The sequence below is a fragment of the Homo sapiens genome, chromosome 8, assembly GCF_000001405.40.
Source record: "Homo sapiens chromosome 8, GRCh38.p14 Primary Assembly".
NCBI classification, from domain to species: Eukaryota; Metazoa; Chordata; class Mammalia; order Primates; family Hominidae; genus Homo; species Homo sapiens.
In genome coordinates this window covers 86,924,367-86,946,179 of record NC_000008.11, presented here as the reverse complement: position 1 = coordinate 86,946,179, position 21,813 = coordinate 86,924,367, and the positions used below count along the sequence as shown (strand labels likewise).

The 21,813-nt window shown below is 39.6% G+C and overlaps 1 protein-coding gene across 4 annotated transcripts in view; it reads right to left on the bottom strand.

Moving 5' to 3' along the window:
- Positions 1-21,813, bottom strand: part of CNBD1 (cyclic nucleotide binding domain containing 1) — a 562,238-nt gene that overhangs the window by 482,473 nt on the left and 57,952 nt on the right. For all 4 annotated transcript variants that reach the window (NM_173538.3, XM_047421411.1, XM_024447082.2 and 1 more), the window contains one exon: positions 6,426-6,584. In NM_173538.3, the coding sequence (NP_775809.1) occupies positions 6,426-6,584 (159 nt within the window). The remainder of the gene's footprint in view (positions 1-6,425; positions 6,585-21,813) is intronic.

Sequence of the window (21,813 nt, the reverse complement as noted above, 5' to 3'; positions counted from 1 at the left end):
TATAATTCAACTATAGCAAGAACATAGCAAAGTCTTTTGTTAAAAAGCAATCACAGTATGTAACATTCTTTGGGAGAGGGGAGATTGACATTCACATAGGGCCTAAAATGGACGAAGTAATATGTTTGGGGCTTTACATTCTAACTTTGTGAATAAAATTTTTGGAGGTAGAAATTTGCCCAAGATCATACAACTAATGATTAGAGGAGTCCAGTTGAGAACACAGTTCTTTCTGACTCTGCAGGCCAGGCATTTTGCAACATGTACATCCCAAATGTAACTTTCAATCTAGCTGCCGCAGACAGAACAAGAAGATTCAGCGTGACACGCTTTTAGAATACCAGTCTACTGTCAATGAGTTTTTAATTTCTGTCCTTTGCTAACTCATTTTAACACAAATAATTCTCTTCCTTTATTTCCCATTCTTCTGTCATAAATGATCACCATTTGTGTCAGAAATATAAATTACTTTCAGTATCCACACCGTTCTTTATTAACCTATGTTCCCTTTTAAGTTCAAATGGAAACTTTCTTTTCTAGATATGAATCCCCCTTCCACTCCATTGAAGTGCGGTTTTCCTCCAAAATACTGTATTTTTCACAAATTAATAGCCCCACAAAGTGTTTTTCTTTGATCAGCATGCAGCCCTTAAATATAGTTTGAGACTGCAATTCCCCATCTTATGTGCCATTTCACCAGAGGACGACAGCATAAGAACCATATTGCATTTGGATTTTAAACAGCCTGAATCTAAAAGGCAAAAACCCTGATGTTCTTCCAGGGAGCAATTCCTCTGAGTCATTCCTGAGAAGTGGCTTTGCATCACTGCTCTACTGAAACATAATGATCTTCAGATGCCTCATTCGCTCAAAGGAAACATCGTTAATTGGAGAAAGTAGAAGAAAAAACAATCGGGCCAAGTTTTCTCAGAGGATCTTAATCTGCATTTCACAGCTCATTTATAAGTCCCTCTCTTCTCCTACCCTTTCCACAGCTCCCACAAATACATACAAACATAACTTTTTTTCCCCAGAAATTAGTCATTTATGAAGAAACCAATTATTTTTACCATAGTATTTTATAATTGCATTTTAAAAGCCAGTGTTGTTATAAGCACTGCAATCAAATACCAACATGTGAGAGCATCAGATGATTTGCCCAGGATTCTCCATCATGTTAGTGGTCAAACTGAGCAATGAACCTGATTTGCTTCAAGGACTGTCTGTTCAGTCCTGCTCATGTCTTAAAAAGAGAGAGAAAATCAAATTCTTCATGTCAAATCTAAATCCCTAACACAGAATATGGGCCACTGTCATCTTTCACCTAGACAAATTTCACAGCACTCTAACAGGTCACTCTGAAACTCCTTTTGGCATCCACACATGACCTTTTGCCATGTAAATCATAACATGCCAGTCACACCAAGGTTAAAATCCCTTCATGGGCTATGAGACCCTAAATGATAATCTGGTCCCTGGCTACCTCTGAAGCACTATTTCCACCAGGTCTCCCATTTGACTCATGCACTTTCACAACAATGACTTTCTTCCCAATTATTATGGTTTTTATTTTTTGTAATTTGTTTTTCTATTTGCAGACCATGTTGCAATACCTGGGCTCTTGCACTTGTGTTTTCTTTCCCTAGAATGCACTTCTTCAAGGTATTTAATTGTCTCTCTCTCCTCTTTCTCCTGTTTCATAAAATCTGACTTCTCTGATCATTTCCATCATTCTCTATCCCCTTATTCTGCATTAGCTTTTCTTCCTAGCACTTATCACTAACTGACAGAATACATATGTGTTTAGTATCTCTTACATTAGAATGTAAGCTCCATGAGGGCAAAGATATTGTGTGTTCCCACAGTCCCAATACCAGGAATACTGACAGAAACATAGAGGAGTTCAAAAGTGTATGTTGGATTCATTAATTAATGGATGAAAAATAAAATGAGTCAAAATTATTTAGAAACTAAAATTCTAAGTCATGTTTCAGTTCCTAGATTTTAATATTCTTTACTTATCATCATTTCCCCCTTCTTCTGAAATATTTTCTCTTTTGAAATGCTGCCCCTTTGCCAATTGCATGTAAACTCAGTAAAACTGCCTGTCAAAGGGCACTTCTCCCTCAGCATTTATTCAAGGGTGGGTATAAAAATAAACTACAACAATCTGACTCCCTATCCCTGAAATTAAGCTGTGAGCCTAGTAACTCCCAAATGCAAGTAGTTGTAACTGATTGATTCCAGTGTTGTACCTTGAAGAGACTTCCAGAGTTGCCTTAGAGTTTGTATCTCCAGCATCTAGTTGTTGTTCTTCTATTCTGAGAGCTACCTGATATTCTTCCATCTGTCCCCCCTTCCCTTTTTGTTTATTGTGATTGTTTTAATGAACCAGAGTCAGTTTCTGTTGCTTATGATCCAAAATCCTAACTAATACACATGATAAGCTTATATTCAATCTGATATGCCTTAAAAAACAAAATTTTAAAAAGGGGCCTCCCAACTCTCTTTTTCTCACTCTGTCTCCTCTCTCCCTCCCACTGTCTGTTTAGTAATCCTCTGGTTGCTCAAATCTCTCCTTTATGGTGGCACCACCCCCATGATTTTAATGCCTCTCCCAATGATTTTAATGTTTCAAAATTATTTATTATTTTTCCCATCTATCAGTATTTACTCAGAGCTGCTGACATGAAGTGGAAGTTAAGATGTAATTAACATGATTAAGCTATAGCACACCAAGTTATCAATAGGTAATAGTATCTTAATCTTATCAGATATCTTTGCATTTCTTTTTTTTTTTTTTTTTTTTTTTTTGAGATGGAGTCTTGCTCTGTCACCAGGCTGGAGTGCAGTGGCCCAATCTCGGCTCGCCTCCCGCGTTCAAGCAATTCCTGCCTCAGCCTCCCGAGTAGCTGGGACTATAGGCACATGCCACCACACCCAGCTAATTTTTGTATTTTTAATAGAGATGGAGTTTCACCAGGTTGGCCAGGATGGTTTCCATCTCTTGACCTCATGATCCACACTCCTTGGCTTCCCAAAGTGCTGGGATTACAGGTGTGAGCCACTGCGCCCAGCCTGCATTTATTTAAAAAGTTACTGTGACTCAAAATGTTTTTTTTTTTTTAATTTTAGTCAGGGTGACAAAGTGAAAAGTTTTAAAGTATAGAAGGTAACATTTTCAAAAGTTCATTAGATAACATCACTTAAACAGCCCGTCAATCTGATCATGGTTTAATTAGTCAGAGATAAACAAAAGGCCACAGACCTGACAACTTATCCATCAATAAATAGATTTTAATTGAATTACTTTAGTGTTGTGTTTATAAAGCATACAACCCCATTGCTAATGCAATTAACAGAGTCAGAAATAGACTGATGATGTTACTAAATGTGACTAAGGGAACACCCAATCCCCTTTCCTTAAATGTTGGGAGTGGGGGCAGAATCTATGATTTGGGAATACTGCAAAACCCGATGGGATATATAGGCCCCTGATTAGGTTATATCACACTTCACCTAGTCAGAATAACAGAGAGAGAAACAGACTCTCCCTTGCTAGCTTTGAAAATTTAAGCTTTTGTGTTGCTAACAGAGCTTGAGAAAGTGCCACATGGCAAGGATCTAGGGAGTCTCTAGTAGAAAGAGGGGCCCCCTGCTGAAAGCCATCATGAAAGTGGGGATGTCAGTCCTACAACCACAAGGAACTGAATCCTGCCAACAACCATTTGAGCTTGGAAGAGGATCCTATGCTCCAGAAATGGTCACAGCCCAGTGGACACTCTGATGATCTGTGAGACACTGAGCAGAGGACCAGATAAACCTCACCCTGAGAGATACTAAATTATGTTGTTGTAAGCCACTAAGTTTATGTTAATTAATTACAGAACAATAAGAAGCTAATACATTAGTGTCCCAAGGAGAAGAGGAGAGAAAAGGCATGTGCTATAGAACAAACATAGATTGTGGATTTAGTGCATACATTGATCTTTTACTTACTATTAATAGTTTGTCATAGCTACCTCAAAGCATTGATGTGAGGATTAAATCACAAATTTTTTATAGAGAGCTTAAGGCTTTCTGTTAATATTAAACATCTCATAAAAATGAATTTCCTTCTCATTTACTCTCCTACTGTAATTTGGTGGCTGTCACAGCCCACCCATTGACAGCAGTGAGTTTTGCCATGTCAAAGTCCTGGCTGCCCAATTCTGAGCCACTGAAAGGGGGGACGTATAGTACATCAGGATCTTCTCTACTCATCCATTTTCTCACACATGAGTGAGGAAGTGGGTTCTGGAAACTGATACTGACCCAACATCTATTGTCCTGGGTGTTTGGAAACAGGCCATTAAATAGCATCCATGGAGGTCCACAAAAGAATGTAGCAAAGTAAAGTAACTTGTCTATTATTCACTGTGCTTGGACCACCTTCTACCATGGCTCCTGCTTTTCGCGGTAGTCCACTGTTAAGAAGGTACTAGGCTTCTTACCCATTTGTAGTTTCCATCCTGACATTGACCTAGATTTACCTCCTGGTATTTTGACATTGCAGTGCAGAATCATAGCTGCTTGGAAGTCCCTGTTACTGACCTCCCACATCTCAGATCAGAAACTTTGTTATCTGGAAACTGCTATCTCACTATAGTAAAAAAGACAGGAATTACCACTGCCATTAAAACTCTTACAGCCCAGCACAACCTGAAATCAGCAGAGTGATTCATGGGTTTCTGGAAACTAAAATTTTGGAATCTGATGCAATATTAATCAACATTAGAGTTTAATGGAATTAAAGTGATTGTAGCATAGTATGCCTTAGATCACTTTCAGTGTTTTAGCGATTTTCTACCACTTAAAGAATATTTTTAACGAATTTAGTGAGCATATTCTAGTTGAATTTCCTAATTTTTTCAGCTTACAAGTTTAATTTTACTCTTCTATGACAGGTGGTTAAGATTTCCTTCTATAATTCCCTCATACCTGCTTTACTAAAAAGTGATTAGTATTCATTGTTTCCTTTTTGTTATTATAAGTTAAGAGTATAAAAATCTGACCATTCTCAAATTTTCTGGAAGCTCTGATCATATTTCCTCAAATTTGCAATCATAGTCATGTGTCACTTAACAACGGGGATACATTCTGAGAAATCTGTCATCATGCGATTTTGTCATTCTGTAAACATCATAGAGTACACTTAAACCTGGATCGTGTAGTCTACTACACACCTAGGCCAGCTGGTATAGCCTGTTGTTCCTAGGCTACAAACCTGCAAAACATGTTACTGTACTGTATACTGTAGGCAGTTATACCACAATGGTATTTTTGTATCTAAACAAAGAAAAAGTTCATTCTTCAGAACATAAATGTCAAATTTTTAATTACTCATTCCCTGCTATTGATTTTTTTCTGAAAACATTCCTAGTCTTGACACTTTTGGTTTTGTTCCTGTTATCAATCTCAATTCTAATATCACATATTCTAGTTGAATTTCCTATTTTTTCAGCTTACAAGTTTAATTTTACTCCCCTATGACAGGTGGTTAAGATTTTCTTCTATAATTTTCATGGTACTCGTTTAATTTTATTCACAAATCCAATACCATCTTTGGTAATCAGCCTACACTCAGATTTAATCTTCTCCTCCACACCCCTCCTTCTTCAGGCAGTTGTGTCCCTATCAGAGCACAAAGTATTCTAGAAAATTAAAAGGAATGGGGCCGGGTGCGGAAGCTCACACCTGTAATCCCAGGCCGAGGGAGGCCGAGGCAGGCAGATCACCTGAGGTCAGGAGTTCGAGACCACCCTGGCCAACATGGTGAAACCCTGTCCCTACTAAAAATACAAAAATTAGCCAGGCGTGGTGGCAGGTGCCTGTAATCCCAGCTACTTGGGGGGCTGAGGCAGGAGAATCACTTGAACCCAGGAGGCGGAGGTTGCAGTGAGTTGAGATTGCGCCATTGAAGCAGAGGTTGCAGTGAGCCGAAACTGTGCCATTGCACTCCAGCCTGGGGCACAAGAGCAACAGTCTCAAAAAAAAAAAAAAAAAAAGTAACATGTGGTAAGTTTATTTAAAGACTCCTGGATGAGGAAGACAGTTTGTGAAGAGCCTTCCGATAACCCAAGCTAAGGACATCTTTAACAGAATTTTGAAATATCAGTAAATAATATATATTTTGCTTGCAGTTTAATTTTAAAATAATGGGTCACAAGTTTAGCATTATATCCGTGATACACCATTGAAGACTGAATTCATGAAGACTGTATTTATATAGAAACAAAGTCTCCAGTGTGTCCATCTCTCCTGAATCAACCATGAGTGCTGTATCATAACTAAAGTACACTTACCCACAAACAATAAACTTTAAAAAATAAAGCCATTCAAAAGAATTACTCAATTAGAAGAAGGAATATATTTTAAATACTTACAATTTCTTTAAGATAGCTAGGAATTCTTCAAATTTCTCTGTGGCTCTTTTTGGTCTATATAAAATATGGCCACCATGTGCTCTCTGAACATGGACAGCTATATTGTTAGAATCATCAGGTTGTTGATGTTGACTTTCCTCTTTGCCTTCATTGAGTTCCCTGAACAAGAAAATATAGTATTTTATGCTGTTGTATACTGCATAAAAATTATTTACAGGGACTTTTACTATATTGCAGGAGTATAAATGCACTGTTTTGAGAAAATTTGTCATTTTCAGAACATATTCTTTTTAAATGCATTAGAATGTTTCAATCTCCATAGTACAGTTATATATGTCATTCTGTTACATGTAGAACTTGGAATATATGAAATATTTTCAATGTATAGAATTTGATTATATGTATTATAACTGTCCTGAGCAATTGAAACACCTTTCATAATATATTAGGCTTATGTTATTTAGGAAAATATTTCAAGTCAATGGCTAACATCATTTATACTCACACATTTGTTTTTCAGTGTTTTTTTTTAGCACCAAGGATAAAATTATATTATTTAACTTTTATTTACCACTGGTAATCTATAAACATCTTGGAAGATAGCCACCATATCTTATTCTTGTGCTATGGTATGTTATACACCTAAATCCCTAAGAGATGTACAAATAAATGACCATTTTCCATTCATATTTCTAGAATTAAGCATTTCTATTAAAAGGTCATTGAAAACTCATAGGCGAGAAATACAACAAGTGCTGTCTGTGTTTAAGAAAAAAATAGTAAGGCAGGTTGCAGAAATGAATCTGGATTACATCTTGATAATAGACCTTTAATTATATACATAGGAAGATTAAAATTAAATATAAGATATGTGGAATCATAACAGCAATACTAAATTATCACATTAATATATAACTTGTTGCATTCTTAAATGTGCTGGCTACTCTGGTAACCTTATATGCACATCATCCTGTTAACACTAACCATGTGATATGGTTTGGCTGTGTCCCCACCCAAATCTCATCTTGAATTGTAGCTCCCATAATTCCCATGTATCACAAGAGGGACCCAGTGGGAGATAAAGGAATCATGGGGGCAGATCTTTCCTGGACTGTTCTCATGATAGTGAGTAAGTCTCACAAGATCTGATGGTTTTATAAAGGAGAGTTCGCCTACACAAGGTCTCTATTTGCCTGCTCCTATGTAAGACATGACTTTGCTCATTTGCCTTTGAACATGATTGTGAGGCCTCCCCAGCCATGTGGAACTGTGAGTCTATTAAACCTCTTTCCTTTATAAATTTCCCAGTTTTGGGTATGTCTTTATTAGCAGTGTAAGAACAGATGAATACAGTAAATTGGTACCAGTAAAGTGTGGAAGTGACTTCGGAACTGGGTAACAGGCAGAGTTTGCAACAGTTTGGAAGGCTCAGAAGAAGACAAGAGGATGTGGGAAATTTTGTAACTTCCTAGAGACTTGTCAAATGGCTTTGAGCAAAATGCTGATAGTGATATGGGCAAAAAAGTCTAGGCTGAGTTGGTCTCAGATGGAGATGAGGAACTTGTCAGAAACTTAAATAAAGGTGACTCTTGCTATGTTTTAGCAGAGACTGGCAGCATTTTGCATCTTCCCTAGAGATCTATAGCACTTTGAACTTGAGGGAGATGATTTAGAGTATCTAGCAGAAGAAATTTCTATGCTGCAAAGTGTTCAAGAGCTGATTTGGGTGCTATTAAATGCATTCAGCTTTATGTATTCACAAAGATATGGTTTGGAATTGGAACTTATGTTTAAAAGGGAAGCAGAGCATAAAAGTTCAGAAAATTTGCAGCCTGAAAATGCAGTAGAAAAGAAAAACCTATTTTCTGAGGAGAAATTCAAGGTGGCTGCAGAAATTTGCATAAGTAACAAGGTGCCAAATGTTACTCTCCAAGACAATGGGGAAAATGTCTCCAGGCCATGTCAGAGATCTTCATGGCAGCCCCCACCATCACAAGCCACAGGGCCTAGGAGGAAAAAATGGTTTCATGGGTCTCGCCCAGAGCCTTGCTGCTTTGTGCAGTCTCAGGACTTGGTGCCCTGTGTCCCAGCCATGGCCAAAAGGGGCCAACGTAGAGGTCAAACCGTTGCTTCAGAGGGTGCAAGTTTACACATGGTGTTGAGCCTGCAGGTGCACAGAAGTCAAAAATTGAGGTTTGGGAACCTCTGCCTAGATTTCAGAGTCTCATAGGCAGAAGGGACCTGCCTTGTCTCAGATGAGACTTTGGACTCTGGACTTCTGAGTTAATGCTGAAATGAGTTAAGACTTTGGGGGACTGTTGGGAAGGTACAATTGGTTTTGAAATGGGAGGACATGAGATTTTGGAGGGGCCAGAGTCAGAATGATATGGTTTAGCTGTGTCCCCACCCAAATCCCATCTTGAATTGTAGCTCCTTAATTCCCACGTGTTGTGGGAGGGACCCAGTGGGAGGTATCTGAATCATGGGGGCAGGTCTTTCCCATGCTGTTCTCATGATAGTAAGTCTCATGAGATCTGATGGTTTTATAAAGGACAGTTCTCCTACACAAGTTCTGTCTTTGCCTGCTGCCATGTAAGATGTGACTTTGCCCCTCCTCCACCTTCTACCATGATTGTGAGTCCTACCTCAGCCATGTGGAACTGTTAGTCAACTAAACCTCTTTCCTTTATAAATTACTCAGTCTCAGGTATATCTTTATTAGCAGTGTGAGAACAGATGAATACACAATACACCATGTGAGTAGGCAATATTATCCTCAGTTTATAAAATAAGGAAATTGTAACTAAAAGAGTTTATATAAATTTTCTAAACTCTCACAGCTAGTAGAGCTGGAAAAACTTTTTGCATCCTTCTGCTTTTCACAATTACCTGTACCTTTGAATTTTTAATAAAACTTGATACTGGGTAAAATCTGATTCCTGTAAGTCTAATTTGGTAACCTAATTCTTTAGATTATTCTTAATCCCTATAGATTTTTTTTTTTTTTTTTTTGAGATGGAGTCTTGCTCTGTCACCTAGGCTGGAGTGCAGTGGTACGATCTCAGCTCACTGCAAGCTCTGCCTCCTGGGTTCACACCATTCTCCTGCCTCAGCCTCCTGAGTAGCTGGGACTACAGGCGCCTACCACCACACCTGGCTAATTGTTTTTTGCATTTTTAGTAGAGATGGGGTTTCACAGTGTTAGCCAGGATGGTCTTGTTCTCCTGACCTCGTGATCCACCCACCTCTGCCTCTCAAAGTGCTGGGATTACAGGTGTTAGCCACCATGCCTGGCCTCAATCCATATAGATTTTTTTCCAAACAAATTCTACATGTTCCATGATAAGATTTTTCCAAAATACATAACATTTGTATTGTCATGTTACTTGTATGTGTGATAATATTTCTGTATCTAATGTAATTAGGAGTTTTTAATTTTATAATTTGAATGATCACTGTGGTTGCATAGAAAAATTTTTTCCCTTTTTCTTTAGTAATAAGCTATATTACGTAGCTCTCCCTTTTCAGTTGGCTATCTTAAGGATTTTTCAGTTAGTAATAAAGAGGCACAGATAAAACAAATTAGAAAGAAATATATTGCTTTAAATGCATTTTTTTTTGAGAAGGGATCTTTGTCACCCAGGATGGAGTGCAATGGCATGATCTCAGCTCACTGCAACCTCTGCCTCCCAGCTCATGCAATCCTCCCACCTCACCCTCCCAAGTAGCTGGTACTACAGGTGCAAAACACCAATGCCCAGCTAATTTTTTTTAAGAGATGGTTTTTGCCATGTTGGCCAGGTTAGTCTCAAACTCCTGAGCTCAAAGTGATCCACTCCTGCCTCCACCTCCCAAAGTGCTAGGATTACAGGCATGAGTCACTATGCTCAGCCCCAAATGCATGTTTTTTAAAAAAGAAAAGCTGATAATTCATGAGCTAAGATCAGATCTCAAAAAATGAGAAAAAGAAAGAGTAAGTTATACTCAAAATAAGTATAAGGAAATATATAATAAAGGATAAAAATTGTTAGAGTAATAAAACCAAAATTTAGTTATTTAGAAATCTAATAATCTTGCAAAAATAATGTATAATAAATTTGGCAAAAAATTTTTGAGAACAAAAACAGAAAAGGCAGACATAAATTACATCAGAAATGGAAAAGAAGACTTCAACACAGATCCCACAGATAGAAAAAGATAGAAAGATTATATTATGAAAACTTCATGCCAATAAATTTGAAAATTTAGATGAACAAATACTTACAAAACTACAAATTACCAAACTGACACAAGTAGAAATATAACATTTTAATTGTTCAAATATTTTAAAGAATACAACTAAGAACCTTCCTACAAAGAAAACTCCTTGTCAAAATGGTCCTATTGGTGAATTCTAACAAACTCTTAATAAATAAACCCAGCCAGGCATGTCGGCTCATGCCTGTAATCCCAGCACTTTGGGAGGACCAGGCAGGTGGATTACGAGGTCAGGAGATCGAGACCATCCTAGCTAACACAGTGAAACCCTGTCTCTACTAAAAATACAAAAAAATTAGCCAGGCATGGTGGTGGGTGCCTGTAGTCCCAGCTACTCGGGACACTGAGGCAGGTGAGTGGTGTGAACCCAGGAGGTGGAGCTTGCAGTGAGCTGAGATCACGCCATTGCACTCCAGCCTGGGCAACAAAGCAAGACTCTGTCTCAAAATAAATAAATAAATAAATAAATAAATAAATAAACAAACAAACAAACCCAAATGCTTCCAGAAAAATACAAAAGTCATATGTAGTTTCCAGCAAGTTTTATGAGGCCAGCCTAGCCTTGATATCAATAGCAGGTAAGGAAATTACCAGAAAGGAAGATTACAAGCCAGTGTCACTGATTATAGATGCAAAATTTCTAAACAAAATATTAACACTAAATCCAGGGATAATTTTAGAAGATAACAAAGCCTACGCTATTTGGGAATATATCAGGAATACTATTCCAGGATTGTTATTTAACCCATTAACAAAATACGTAAGGAAAAAATAATGGGTATCTAAAAAAACACCTCATATGGTTCAATATCTATTTGTAATACAAACTGTTAGCAAACTAGAAAGAGAAATGAAACTTAATATGACAAAATTATTTACACAAAATACAGCAAATATTATACTGAAGGTGAAATTTTGAAAACTTTGCCCCTGGAATCAGAAACGTCATGGATATTGCTTTAATTGATTCAACATTCTAGTGAAGGTCCTAAGCATTAAAATTAAAATAACTACAAAATGTAAGAATTGGAAAGGACAAGTAAAGCTGTTATTTTTTGCAGATGACGTGATCTTATATATGGAATATCCAAAAGAATCCACAGATATTATAACTGACAATAAAATTGGTATAAAAGTTCAATATACAAAAATCAGCCATACTTCTGTCGTTATGTTCCTTACATATGAATGCACGAAGGCACTGATAGAATAATCAGTTCCATAAATATGTAATTTAAAGCTGTTAAAAATAATATGAAAATTTATATGTGTTGTGAAAAATAATCATAGGTACCATTACAATATAAAAATGGGGGACCTACTTTGCTTGCCAGGAAAAGATGTTATATGTCAGGGACAGAAGGATTTAAGCTGAGACATAAAAAAATGAAAAGGAGCTAGACAAAGAATATTCCAGGGAGAAGGTATCAGGCATTCTCCTGTAAAATAAACTTCTATAGATACTAAATTTTTGTTTAAAAATGTTTTTATCCTATCAAGTAGCCACTGTACAATATATGAATAGACTATGAATCTGTTCATGCATTTTGGCATAACATCCAATTATTTATGGATTAATTTTTATTCCAGATAAATAATAGAGATACATAAAATAATGTACTCAATTGGATTGTTACACTATAGAACTAGTAATTAAAAAGGCAATTTTTCCTTTCTCTGATGTTGACATTTTAAGGTTTTTGGTATTGTTTATATTAATTATTAAACAAATAAAAAAGAATATTCATAATATATTGCAAGTTAAAGAGTAACAAAAATGAATCTTAATGTACCCACCCAGGTTTTTAAAAATGGAACCTTACCAGCTACTGTACAACTATTTCTCTAGGTGACATGTCCCTCATTCCAAGATAAGTAACCATTATCCTGAATTTTGTTGCTAGTATTCTCTTGGTTTTCATTACAGATTTATCAAAGATATATGTATTCATTTACAAAGACCATTTTAGTTTTTTATATTTTAAACTTTATAGAAATGAAGTGATTCTTATGGATTCTGTAACTTGCTTTTCTTGTTGTATTCAACATTGTGTACATGAGATTTAATGACTAATTCATTCATTTTACTGCTTTATGAGATTTCATTATATGTATGTACCACAAAGACTTTGGGGGGAGTTTGTGTGTTTTGTTTTTTCATTTTTCTAGTCTGTAGTGAATTGGATTTTTGTTAAGTTTGTTCGGTTTTTTGTTTTGTATACAAACTTGGCTACTATGACCAGTCTTATATAAGTAAGACTTCTCCAAGAGATGCTTAAGAGTAAAAGGTTATTCCCGAAGCTAGGATATGGAGAGCCTCAGAAATTATAGACTCCAAAATTGGGGGGTATATCCTTCCTATCCATATGATAAGAAGTGAGGACAAAAGGCATCACTCTTCCAATGCTGGAGATCCCTTCCCTCCCTCAGGGTATGGCCCTCCACTCCGACCTTTCTCCGTCCTCTTTGTGGTCTAAGAGGAAAGGCAAGGGTGCAGGTTTTCGAGAATGTGTCGGTAAGGGCCACTAAATACGACCTTCCTTGGTCCTCTTTGTGATCTAGGAGGAAAACAAGTGTTTCCGCTGCTGCTTCAGTGAGCGCAACTATTCCAAACAGCAGGGTCCAGGGACCATTGCAGGTTATTGGGCGGGGAAGAAAAAAAAAACAGAACAAAACCATAGGCAGTTTTTTTTCTTTCAGATGGGAAACACTCAGGCATCAAGAAGCTCACCCTTGAAATGAATCCATTGGGAACAATTTGACCCTCAAGCCCTGAAAAAGAAGCTGCTTATTTTTTTTCTGCACTATGGCCTGGCCCCAATATTCTCTCTCTGATGGAAAAAAAATGGCCACCTAAGGGAAGTATAAATTACAGCTTTCCTGCAGCTTGACCTTTTCTGTAAGAGGGAAGGCAAATGGAGTGAAATACCTTATGTCCAAGCTTTCCTTTCATTGAAGGATAATCCACAACTATGCAAAGTTTGCAATCTACATCCCACAGGAGGACCTCTCAGTTTACCTTCATATCCTAGCCTCCCTACAGCTCCCCTTCCTGTTAGTGATAAGCCTCCTCTAATCTCCCCCACCCAGAAGGAGACAAGCAAAGAAATCTCCAAGGGACCAAAAAACCCCCTGGGCTATCGGTTATGTCCCCTTCAAGCTGTAGGGGGAGGGGAATTTGGCCCAACATGGATACGTGTCCCTTTCTCCCTCTCTGACTTAAAGCAGATCAAGGTAGACCTGGGGAAGTTTTCAGATAATCCTGATAGGGATATAGATGTCCTACAGGGTCTAGGGCAAACCTTCGACCTCACTTGGAGAGGTGTCATGCTATTATTAGATCAAACCCTGGCCTTTAATGAAAAGAATGTGGCTTTAGCTGCAGCCCGAGACTTTGGAGATACCTGGTATCTTAAGTAAATGACAGAATGACAGCCAAAGAAAGGGACAAACTCCCTACTGGTCAGCAAGCTGTCCCCAGTATTGATCCCCATTGGGACCTAGACTCAGATCATGGAGACTGGAGTCTCAAACATCTGTTGACCTGTGTTCTAGAAGGACTAAGTAGAATTAGTAAAAAGCCCATGAATTATTCAATGATGTCCACCATAACTCAGGGAAAGGAAGAAAATCTTACTGCTTTCCTCAAGCAGCTAGGGGAGGCCTTAAGAAAATATACTCCCCTGTAACCTGACTCCCTTGAGGGTCAATTGATCCTAAAAGATAAGCTTATTACCGAATCAGCCACAGGTACCAGGAGAAACCTCCGAAAGCTAGTCCTGGGCCCTGAACAAAATTTGGAGGCATTATTAAACCTGGCAACCTTGGTGTTCTATAATAGGGACAAAGAGGAAGGAACAGGCTGAAAAGGAAAAGCAAGATAAGAGAAAGGCCACAGCCTTAGTCATGGCCCTCAGACAAACAAACCTTTGTGGTTCAGAAAAGACAGAAAACGGAGTAGGCCAATCACCTAGTAGGGCTTGTTATCAGTGTGGCTTGCAAGGACACTTAAAAAAAAATGTGCAATGAGAAATAAGCCACCCCCTTGCCCATGTCCACTATGCCGAGGCAATCACTGGAAGGTGCACAGCCCAAGAGGACAAAGGTTCTCTGGGCCAGAAGCCCCCAACCAGATGATCCAACAACAGGACTGAGGGTCCTCAGGGCAAGTGCCAGCTCATGTCATCACCCTCACTGAGCCCCAGGTAAGTTTAACCACTGAGGGCCAGGAAATTGACTTCTTCCTGGACACTGGCGTGGCCTTATCAGTGTTAATCTCCTGCCCTGGACCTTGTCCTCAAGGTCCATTACCATCTGAGGAATCCCGGGACAGCCTGTAACCAGGTATTTCTCCCACCTCCTCAGTTGTAAGGAGACTTTGCTCTTTTCACATGCCTTTCTTGTTATGCCTGAAAGTCCCACACCCTTATTAGGGAGGGACATATTAGCCAAAGCTGGAGCTATTATCTACATGAATATGGGGAATAAGTTACCCATTTGTTGTCCCCTACTTGAGGAGGGAAACAACCCTGAAGTCTAGGACTTGGAAGGACAATTCAGAAGGGCAAAAAATGCCCACCCAATCCAAATCAGACTAAAAGACCCCACCGCTTTTCCTTACAAAGGCAATATCCCCTAAGCCCTGAAGTTTGTAAAGGATTACAGGATATTGTTAAACATTTAAAAGTTCAAGGCTTAGTAAGAAAATGCAGGAGTCCCTGCAACACCCCAATTCTAGGAGAACAAAAACTGAACAGTCAATGGAGACTAGTGCAAAATCTTAGACTCATCAATGAGGGAGTAATTCCGCTATATCCAGCTGTAACCAACCTCTATACCCCGCTCTCTCAAATACCAGAGGAAGCAGAATGGTTCACTGTTCTGGACCTCAAGGATGCCTTCTTCTGCATTCCTCTGCACTCTGACTCCCAGTTTCTCTTTGCCTTTGAGGATCCCACAGACCACATGTCCCAACTTATGTGGACAGTCTTGTCCCAAGGATTTAGGGATAGCCCTCATCTGTTTGGTCATGCACTGGCCCAAGATCTAGGCCATTTCTCAAGTCCAGGCACTCTGGTCCTTCAGTATGTGGATGAATTACTTTTGGCTCCCAGTTCGGAAGCCTCCTGCCAGCAGGCTACTCTAGATCTCTTGACCTTTCTAGCTAATCAAGGGTACAAGGCATCTAAATTAAACACCCAGCTCTGCCTACAACAAGTCAAATATCTAGGCCTAATCTTAGCCAGAGGAAGCAGAGACCTCAGCAAAGAACAAATACAGCCTATACTGGCTTGTCCTTGCTGTAAGACATTAAAACAGTTGCGGGGGTTCTTTGGGATCACTGGCTTTTGCCAACTATGGATCCCTGGATACAGCGAGATGGCCAGGCCACTCTATACTCTAATCAAGGAGACCCAGAGGGCAAATACTCATCTAGGAGAATGGGAACCAGAGATGGAAACAGCCTTCAAAACCTTAAAGTAGGCCCTAGTACAAGCTCCAGCCTTAAGCCTTCCCACAGGACAAAACTTCTCTTTATATGTCACAGAGAGAGTGGGAATAGCTCTTGGAGTCCTTACTCAGACTTGTGTGACAACCTCACAGCCAGTTGCATACCTAAGTAAGGAAATTGATGTAGTAGCAAACGGCTGGCCTCACTGTTTACGGATAGTTGCAGGAATGGCCATCTTAGTATCAAAGGCTATCAAAATAATACAAGGAAAGGATCTCACCATCTAGACTACTCATGATGTAAATGGCATACTAGTTGCCAAAGGAAATTTATGACTATCAGACAACTGCCTGCTTAGATACCAAGCACTACTCCTTGAGGGACTGATGCTTCAAATTCGCATGTGTGCAGCCTTCAACCCTGCTATTTTTCTCCCAGAGGATGGGGAACCAATCGAGCATGACTACCAACAAACTGTTGCCCAGACTTATGCTGCCTGAGAGAATCTCTTAGAAGTCCCTTTAGCTAATCCTGACCTTAACCTATATACCAATGGAAGTTCATTTGTGGAGAGTGGGATATGAAGGGCAGGTTATGCCATAGTTAGTGATGTAACAGTACTTGAAAGTAAGCCTCTTCCCCCAGGGACCAGCGCCCAGTTAGCAGAACTACTGGTGCTTACCTGAACCTTAGAACTGAGAAGGGAAAAAAGAATAAATGTGTCTACAGATAGCAAGTATGCTTCTCTAATCCTACATGCCCATGGTACAATATGGAAAGAAAGGGAGTTCCTTACCTCTGAGGGAACCCCCATTAAATACTACAAAGAAATCATGGAGTTATTGCATGCAGTGCAAAAACCCAAAGAGGTGGCAGTCTTACACTGCCAAAGCCATCAAAATGGTGAAGGAGAAAAGGCAGAAGAAAACCATTGGGCAGACGCTGACGCCAAAATTGCTGCCAGGCAGAACTTCCCATTAGAAATACCTATGGAAGGACCCTTGGTATGGAACAACCCTCTCCAAGAGATTAAGCCCCAGTATTTCCCGACTGAAAAAGAATGGGGACTTTCACAGGGGGATAGTTTTCTCCCCTCAGGGTGGTTAATGACAGAAGAGAGTAAGGTACTCATACCCAAAGCCAGCCAGTGGAAAATACTTAAGACTCTCCACCAAACTTTTCATATGGGTATTGAGAACACTCATCAAATGGCCAAATCCCTATTTACAGGGCCAAATCTCCTACAGACCATCTGACAAGTTGTCAAAGCCTGTGATGTGTGCCAAAACAATAATCCCTTGGTCCCTCATAAGGCCCCTCTAGGGGAACAAAAAATAGGGCACTATCCCGGAGACAACTGGCAGTGAGACTTCACCCATATGCCTAAGTCAAGGGGATTTCAATACTTGTTGGTCTGCGTTGATACCTTCACAAATTGGATAGAAGCCTGCAAACAGAGAAGGCTCAGGAAGTAGTTAAAGTCCTAATTCATGAAATAATTCCTAGATTTGGGCTCCCCCAAAGCTTACAAAGTGACAATGGTCTGGCTTTTAAAGTCATGGTAACTCAGGGAATTTCCAGGGCGCTAGGGATACAATATAACCTTCACTGTGCCTGGAGACCACAATCCTCAGGGAAGGTCAAGGAGGTAAATGAAATACTCAAGAGGCACTTAAGGAAACTAACACAAGAAACTCATCTCCCATGTCCTATTCTCTTGCCCATGGCCTTGTCGAGAATCCGAAATTCTCTTCACAAAATGGGGGTAAGTCCATATGAAATGCTGTATGGATGACATTTTCTCACAAATGACTTCCTACTTGATCAGGAAACGGCCAACTTGGTCAAGGATATAACTTCTTTGGCAAGATATCAACAAAACCTTAAAACCCTAAATGAAGGATGTCACAGAGACAAGGGAACAGAGCTGTTCCAACCAGGAGATCTAGTATTGGTCAAGTCCCTTCCCTCTACCTCCCCATCTATGGATTACTTGTGGGAAGGACCATACTCAGTAATCCTCTCTACTTCCACTGCAGTTAAGGTGGCAAGAGTGGAATCTTGGATTCACCACACCCGAGTTAAACTTTGGACACCCCCTGAGGAACCTGCAAGACCATCAGCTCAGGAGTCCCAAAATCAGCCAGACCAGCCTCGATACACCTGTGAATTATTGGAGGACTTACGTCTCCTATTTCAGAAGGAAATATCCCAGACTCAAAAGGCTCCTACAGCTTATCCTGAGGAAAAACCCCTTCCTACTTAAAAAATATAAGTGAAAACCTATGTAATCTTTAACACCTCTCCTTGTCCCTTTGATGGAATCATTTTATTGTATCATTACATTATTAAGCAGTATACTAACCATACTCTTTGCAGTAGGACTATATACTGTAGCTCCTGCCAGGACGAAAATCCTAATCACATCAACCATGTTTACTGTCTTAACTTTCCAAGCCCCTTTATGCATCCAACACAACCTGTTACCAGGCCTGCCCCTGGGGCACCTACTATCCCATCAATGTAATTACACCCTACAACTTCAAGCCCCAACTGATCATAGTAACTTCAGAGTCACCTAAACAGGTCCACTCAAACAGCTTGTCTGCTTCTCAGGGCCCCCAAAAATCATCACCTTCTCCCTGTTTAACAAACAGTCTGGGTTTTGTAATGGCAAGCATACTCCCTGCATGACCATTCACCCCTGGACCCCCTGCAGCAGCGCCTCCCCCACTAATGAATGCCTTCTTATCCCCTCTTTCAGTTACTCTCTTGAATGGTTCCTAGTAAATACAAAATGGTTTTTTCTCCAATGGGAAAATAGAATACAGAGCCACTCAGTTTGCTCCCAACACCCCTTTCCAGCTGCTCACCAGAGCTACCTTGGCAAGTACTCTAGGAGTATGGGAAAATGAAAACAACAAACTCACACACCTCTTTAACATATACAACCAGTTCTGTCTACCCAGCCAAGGCATATTCTTATGTGGAACTTCAGCCTATATCTTCCTCCCCACCAACTGCACAGGCACCTGAACCTTAGTCTTCCTAAGTCCCAACATTGACATTGCCCCAGGAAATCAGACCCTATCAGTGCCCCTCAAAGCTCAAGTCTATCAGTAGAGGGCCATAAAACTAATACCCCTACTTACACAGTTAGGAATGGCTACTGCTACAGAAGCCAGAATAGCCAGTTTATCTACTTCATTATCCTACTACCACACACTCTCAAAGGATTTCTCATACAGTTTATGGGAAATGACAGGGTCTGTCCTTACTCTGCAATCCCAGGTGGAGTCTTTGGCAGCGGTGACTCTCCAAGACTGCTGGGGCCTGGACCTCCTCACTGCTGAGAGGGGAGTACTCTGCACCTTCTTAGGGGAAAGAGTGTTGTTTTTACACCAACCAGTCAGGGATAGTATGAGACCCACCTGGTGTTTACAGGAAAAGGCTTCTGAAATCAGACAATGCCTTTCAAACTCTGACACCAACCTCTGGAGTTGGGTGACATGGCGTCTCCCCTTTCTAGGTCCCATGACAGCCATCTTGGTATTACTTGCCTTTAGGCCCTGTATTTTTAACCTCCTTGTCAAATTTGTTTCCCCCAGGATCAAGGCCATCAAGCTACAGATGGTCTTACAACTGGAACCCCAAATGAGCTCAACTCAAAACTTCTACTGAGGACACCTGGACCGACCCACTGGCCCTTTGACTGGTCTAAAGAGTTCCCCTCTGGAGGACACTACAACTGCAGGGCCCCTTCTTCACCCCTATCCAGCAGGAAGTAGCTAGAGCAGTCATTGCCCAGTTCTCAACAGCAGTTGAGAGGGGAGATTGAGAGGTGAGGCCAGCTGGACTTCCTGGGTCAAGTGGGGACTTGGAGAACTTTCCTGTCTTATGAGAGGATTGTAAAATGCACCAATCAGCGCTCTGTAAAACTCACCAATCAGCAGGATTCTAAAAGTAGCCAATCATGGGGAGGATTGAAAAAAGCGCACTCTGATAGGACAGAAATGGAACATGGGAGGGGACAATAAGGGAATAAAAGCTGGTCACCCCAGCCAGCAGCAGCAAACAACTTGGGTTCCTTTTACCCTGTGGAAGCTTTGTCCTTTCACTCTTCGCAATAAACCTTGCTACCACTCCCTCTTTGGGTTCCTGCCATCTTTAAGAGCTGTAACACTCACTGCCAAGTTCCGTGGCTCCATTCTTGAAGTCAGCGAGACTACGAACCCACCAGCAGGAACCAACTCCAGACACAGGATTACAGGTGCCCTCTACCACACCTGGCTAATTCTTTTTTTTTTTTTTTTTTGGTATTTTTTTCAGTAGAGAGGGTGTTTCACCATGTTAGCAAGGCTGATCACAAACTCATGACCTCGAGTGATCCACCCACCTTGGCCTCCCAAAGTGCATATATTCCTGTATTATAGCTCTTACAAACTTTTTTCCTTTATCAGTTCCCAAAATCTTTCTTTACTGCCTTTACCCCCAATCCCACCATCACATACAGACAGGGACACACACACACACACACACACACACACACACACACACACACACTTTTTGGTAAGCCCGTATATATTTTACTAGGTAGTAATTAGAACCAGAGTAATATACAGACTCTTTCTAAAGATGTTTGCTGTAAGATTCTTCCATCATTTTTAAAAATAAAAACTGAAGTGAGCCTCACTCATAAAAATACTAATTAAATTCAGTCACACTAAGTACACTAAGTTAACTCCATCTGTTAAGCTTAGCTTAATTATCACTAGTACCAAACGAGGGAAATAACTATGGGTAAATTCTCGCTCCAGGATATAAGTTGGCAAATTCCAGGCTTTGTCTTTTGCTAACCAAGAGTGCTGACTTTGTCCCACACATTCCCAAACACATCCAAGGTTAAAATTGAGGAGTCCAAGACAAGTTCCATCATAAACTCTTGACAGTCAATATTGAAATCCTGTCATCTCTTATAATATAAGAAAGAATATTTTAAGGTTAGAGAGAGGTAAGCAATATTTCCCCGGTTTCTACTAAATTAATGTCTGTGCCAAACTCAAGGTCTTCTCTTTACATTTCCAAAAATGCAATAGAAAAATATACAGCTAAAAATCAACAGTTGGACTTACATGTATTCTTTAGGCTAAAGTAGCAATACATTTTCCAGAATATATGACAAGCTATAGAAACATGCAAGAAAGTCAACTTGTTCAGAGATGATTATTACGATACAGATTTACTTCCTAAGTACAAATTCAAATTAAAGAAGCAAATTAAAGAGTTGGGATAATCTTAAGACAAGCTTTAATATATAGCAATATATTAATAAGTATTTATAAAATAATCATCAAATATCATGTTCCATTTTCACTTATAGCCTAAATTCCTTCTATTTATAATTCAATTCAGAAACATTTGTTGAACTCCTGTCAGGCAAAAAAATATTCATTGTCTTCACTGTCTCAGCTCCCAGGAATGAATAATTTCCATTTTCCACTTTAACCACTCTACTTTTTCCACCCACAGAACATTGCTGAATTAGTGACACACCTGGATAATTACAAATCTACATTATCTAATTTTAACGGATCTTTGATTTTGTTTAGCATTCCTAAATTAGCTATTCGTGGAGTTCCTACACCCTCATCTTGATGACTCTCATCTAGCTCCTTTTTC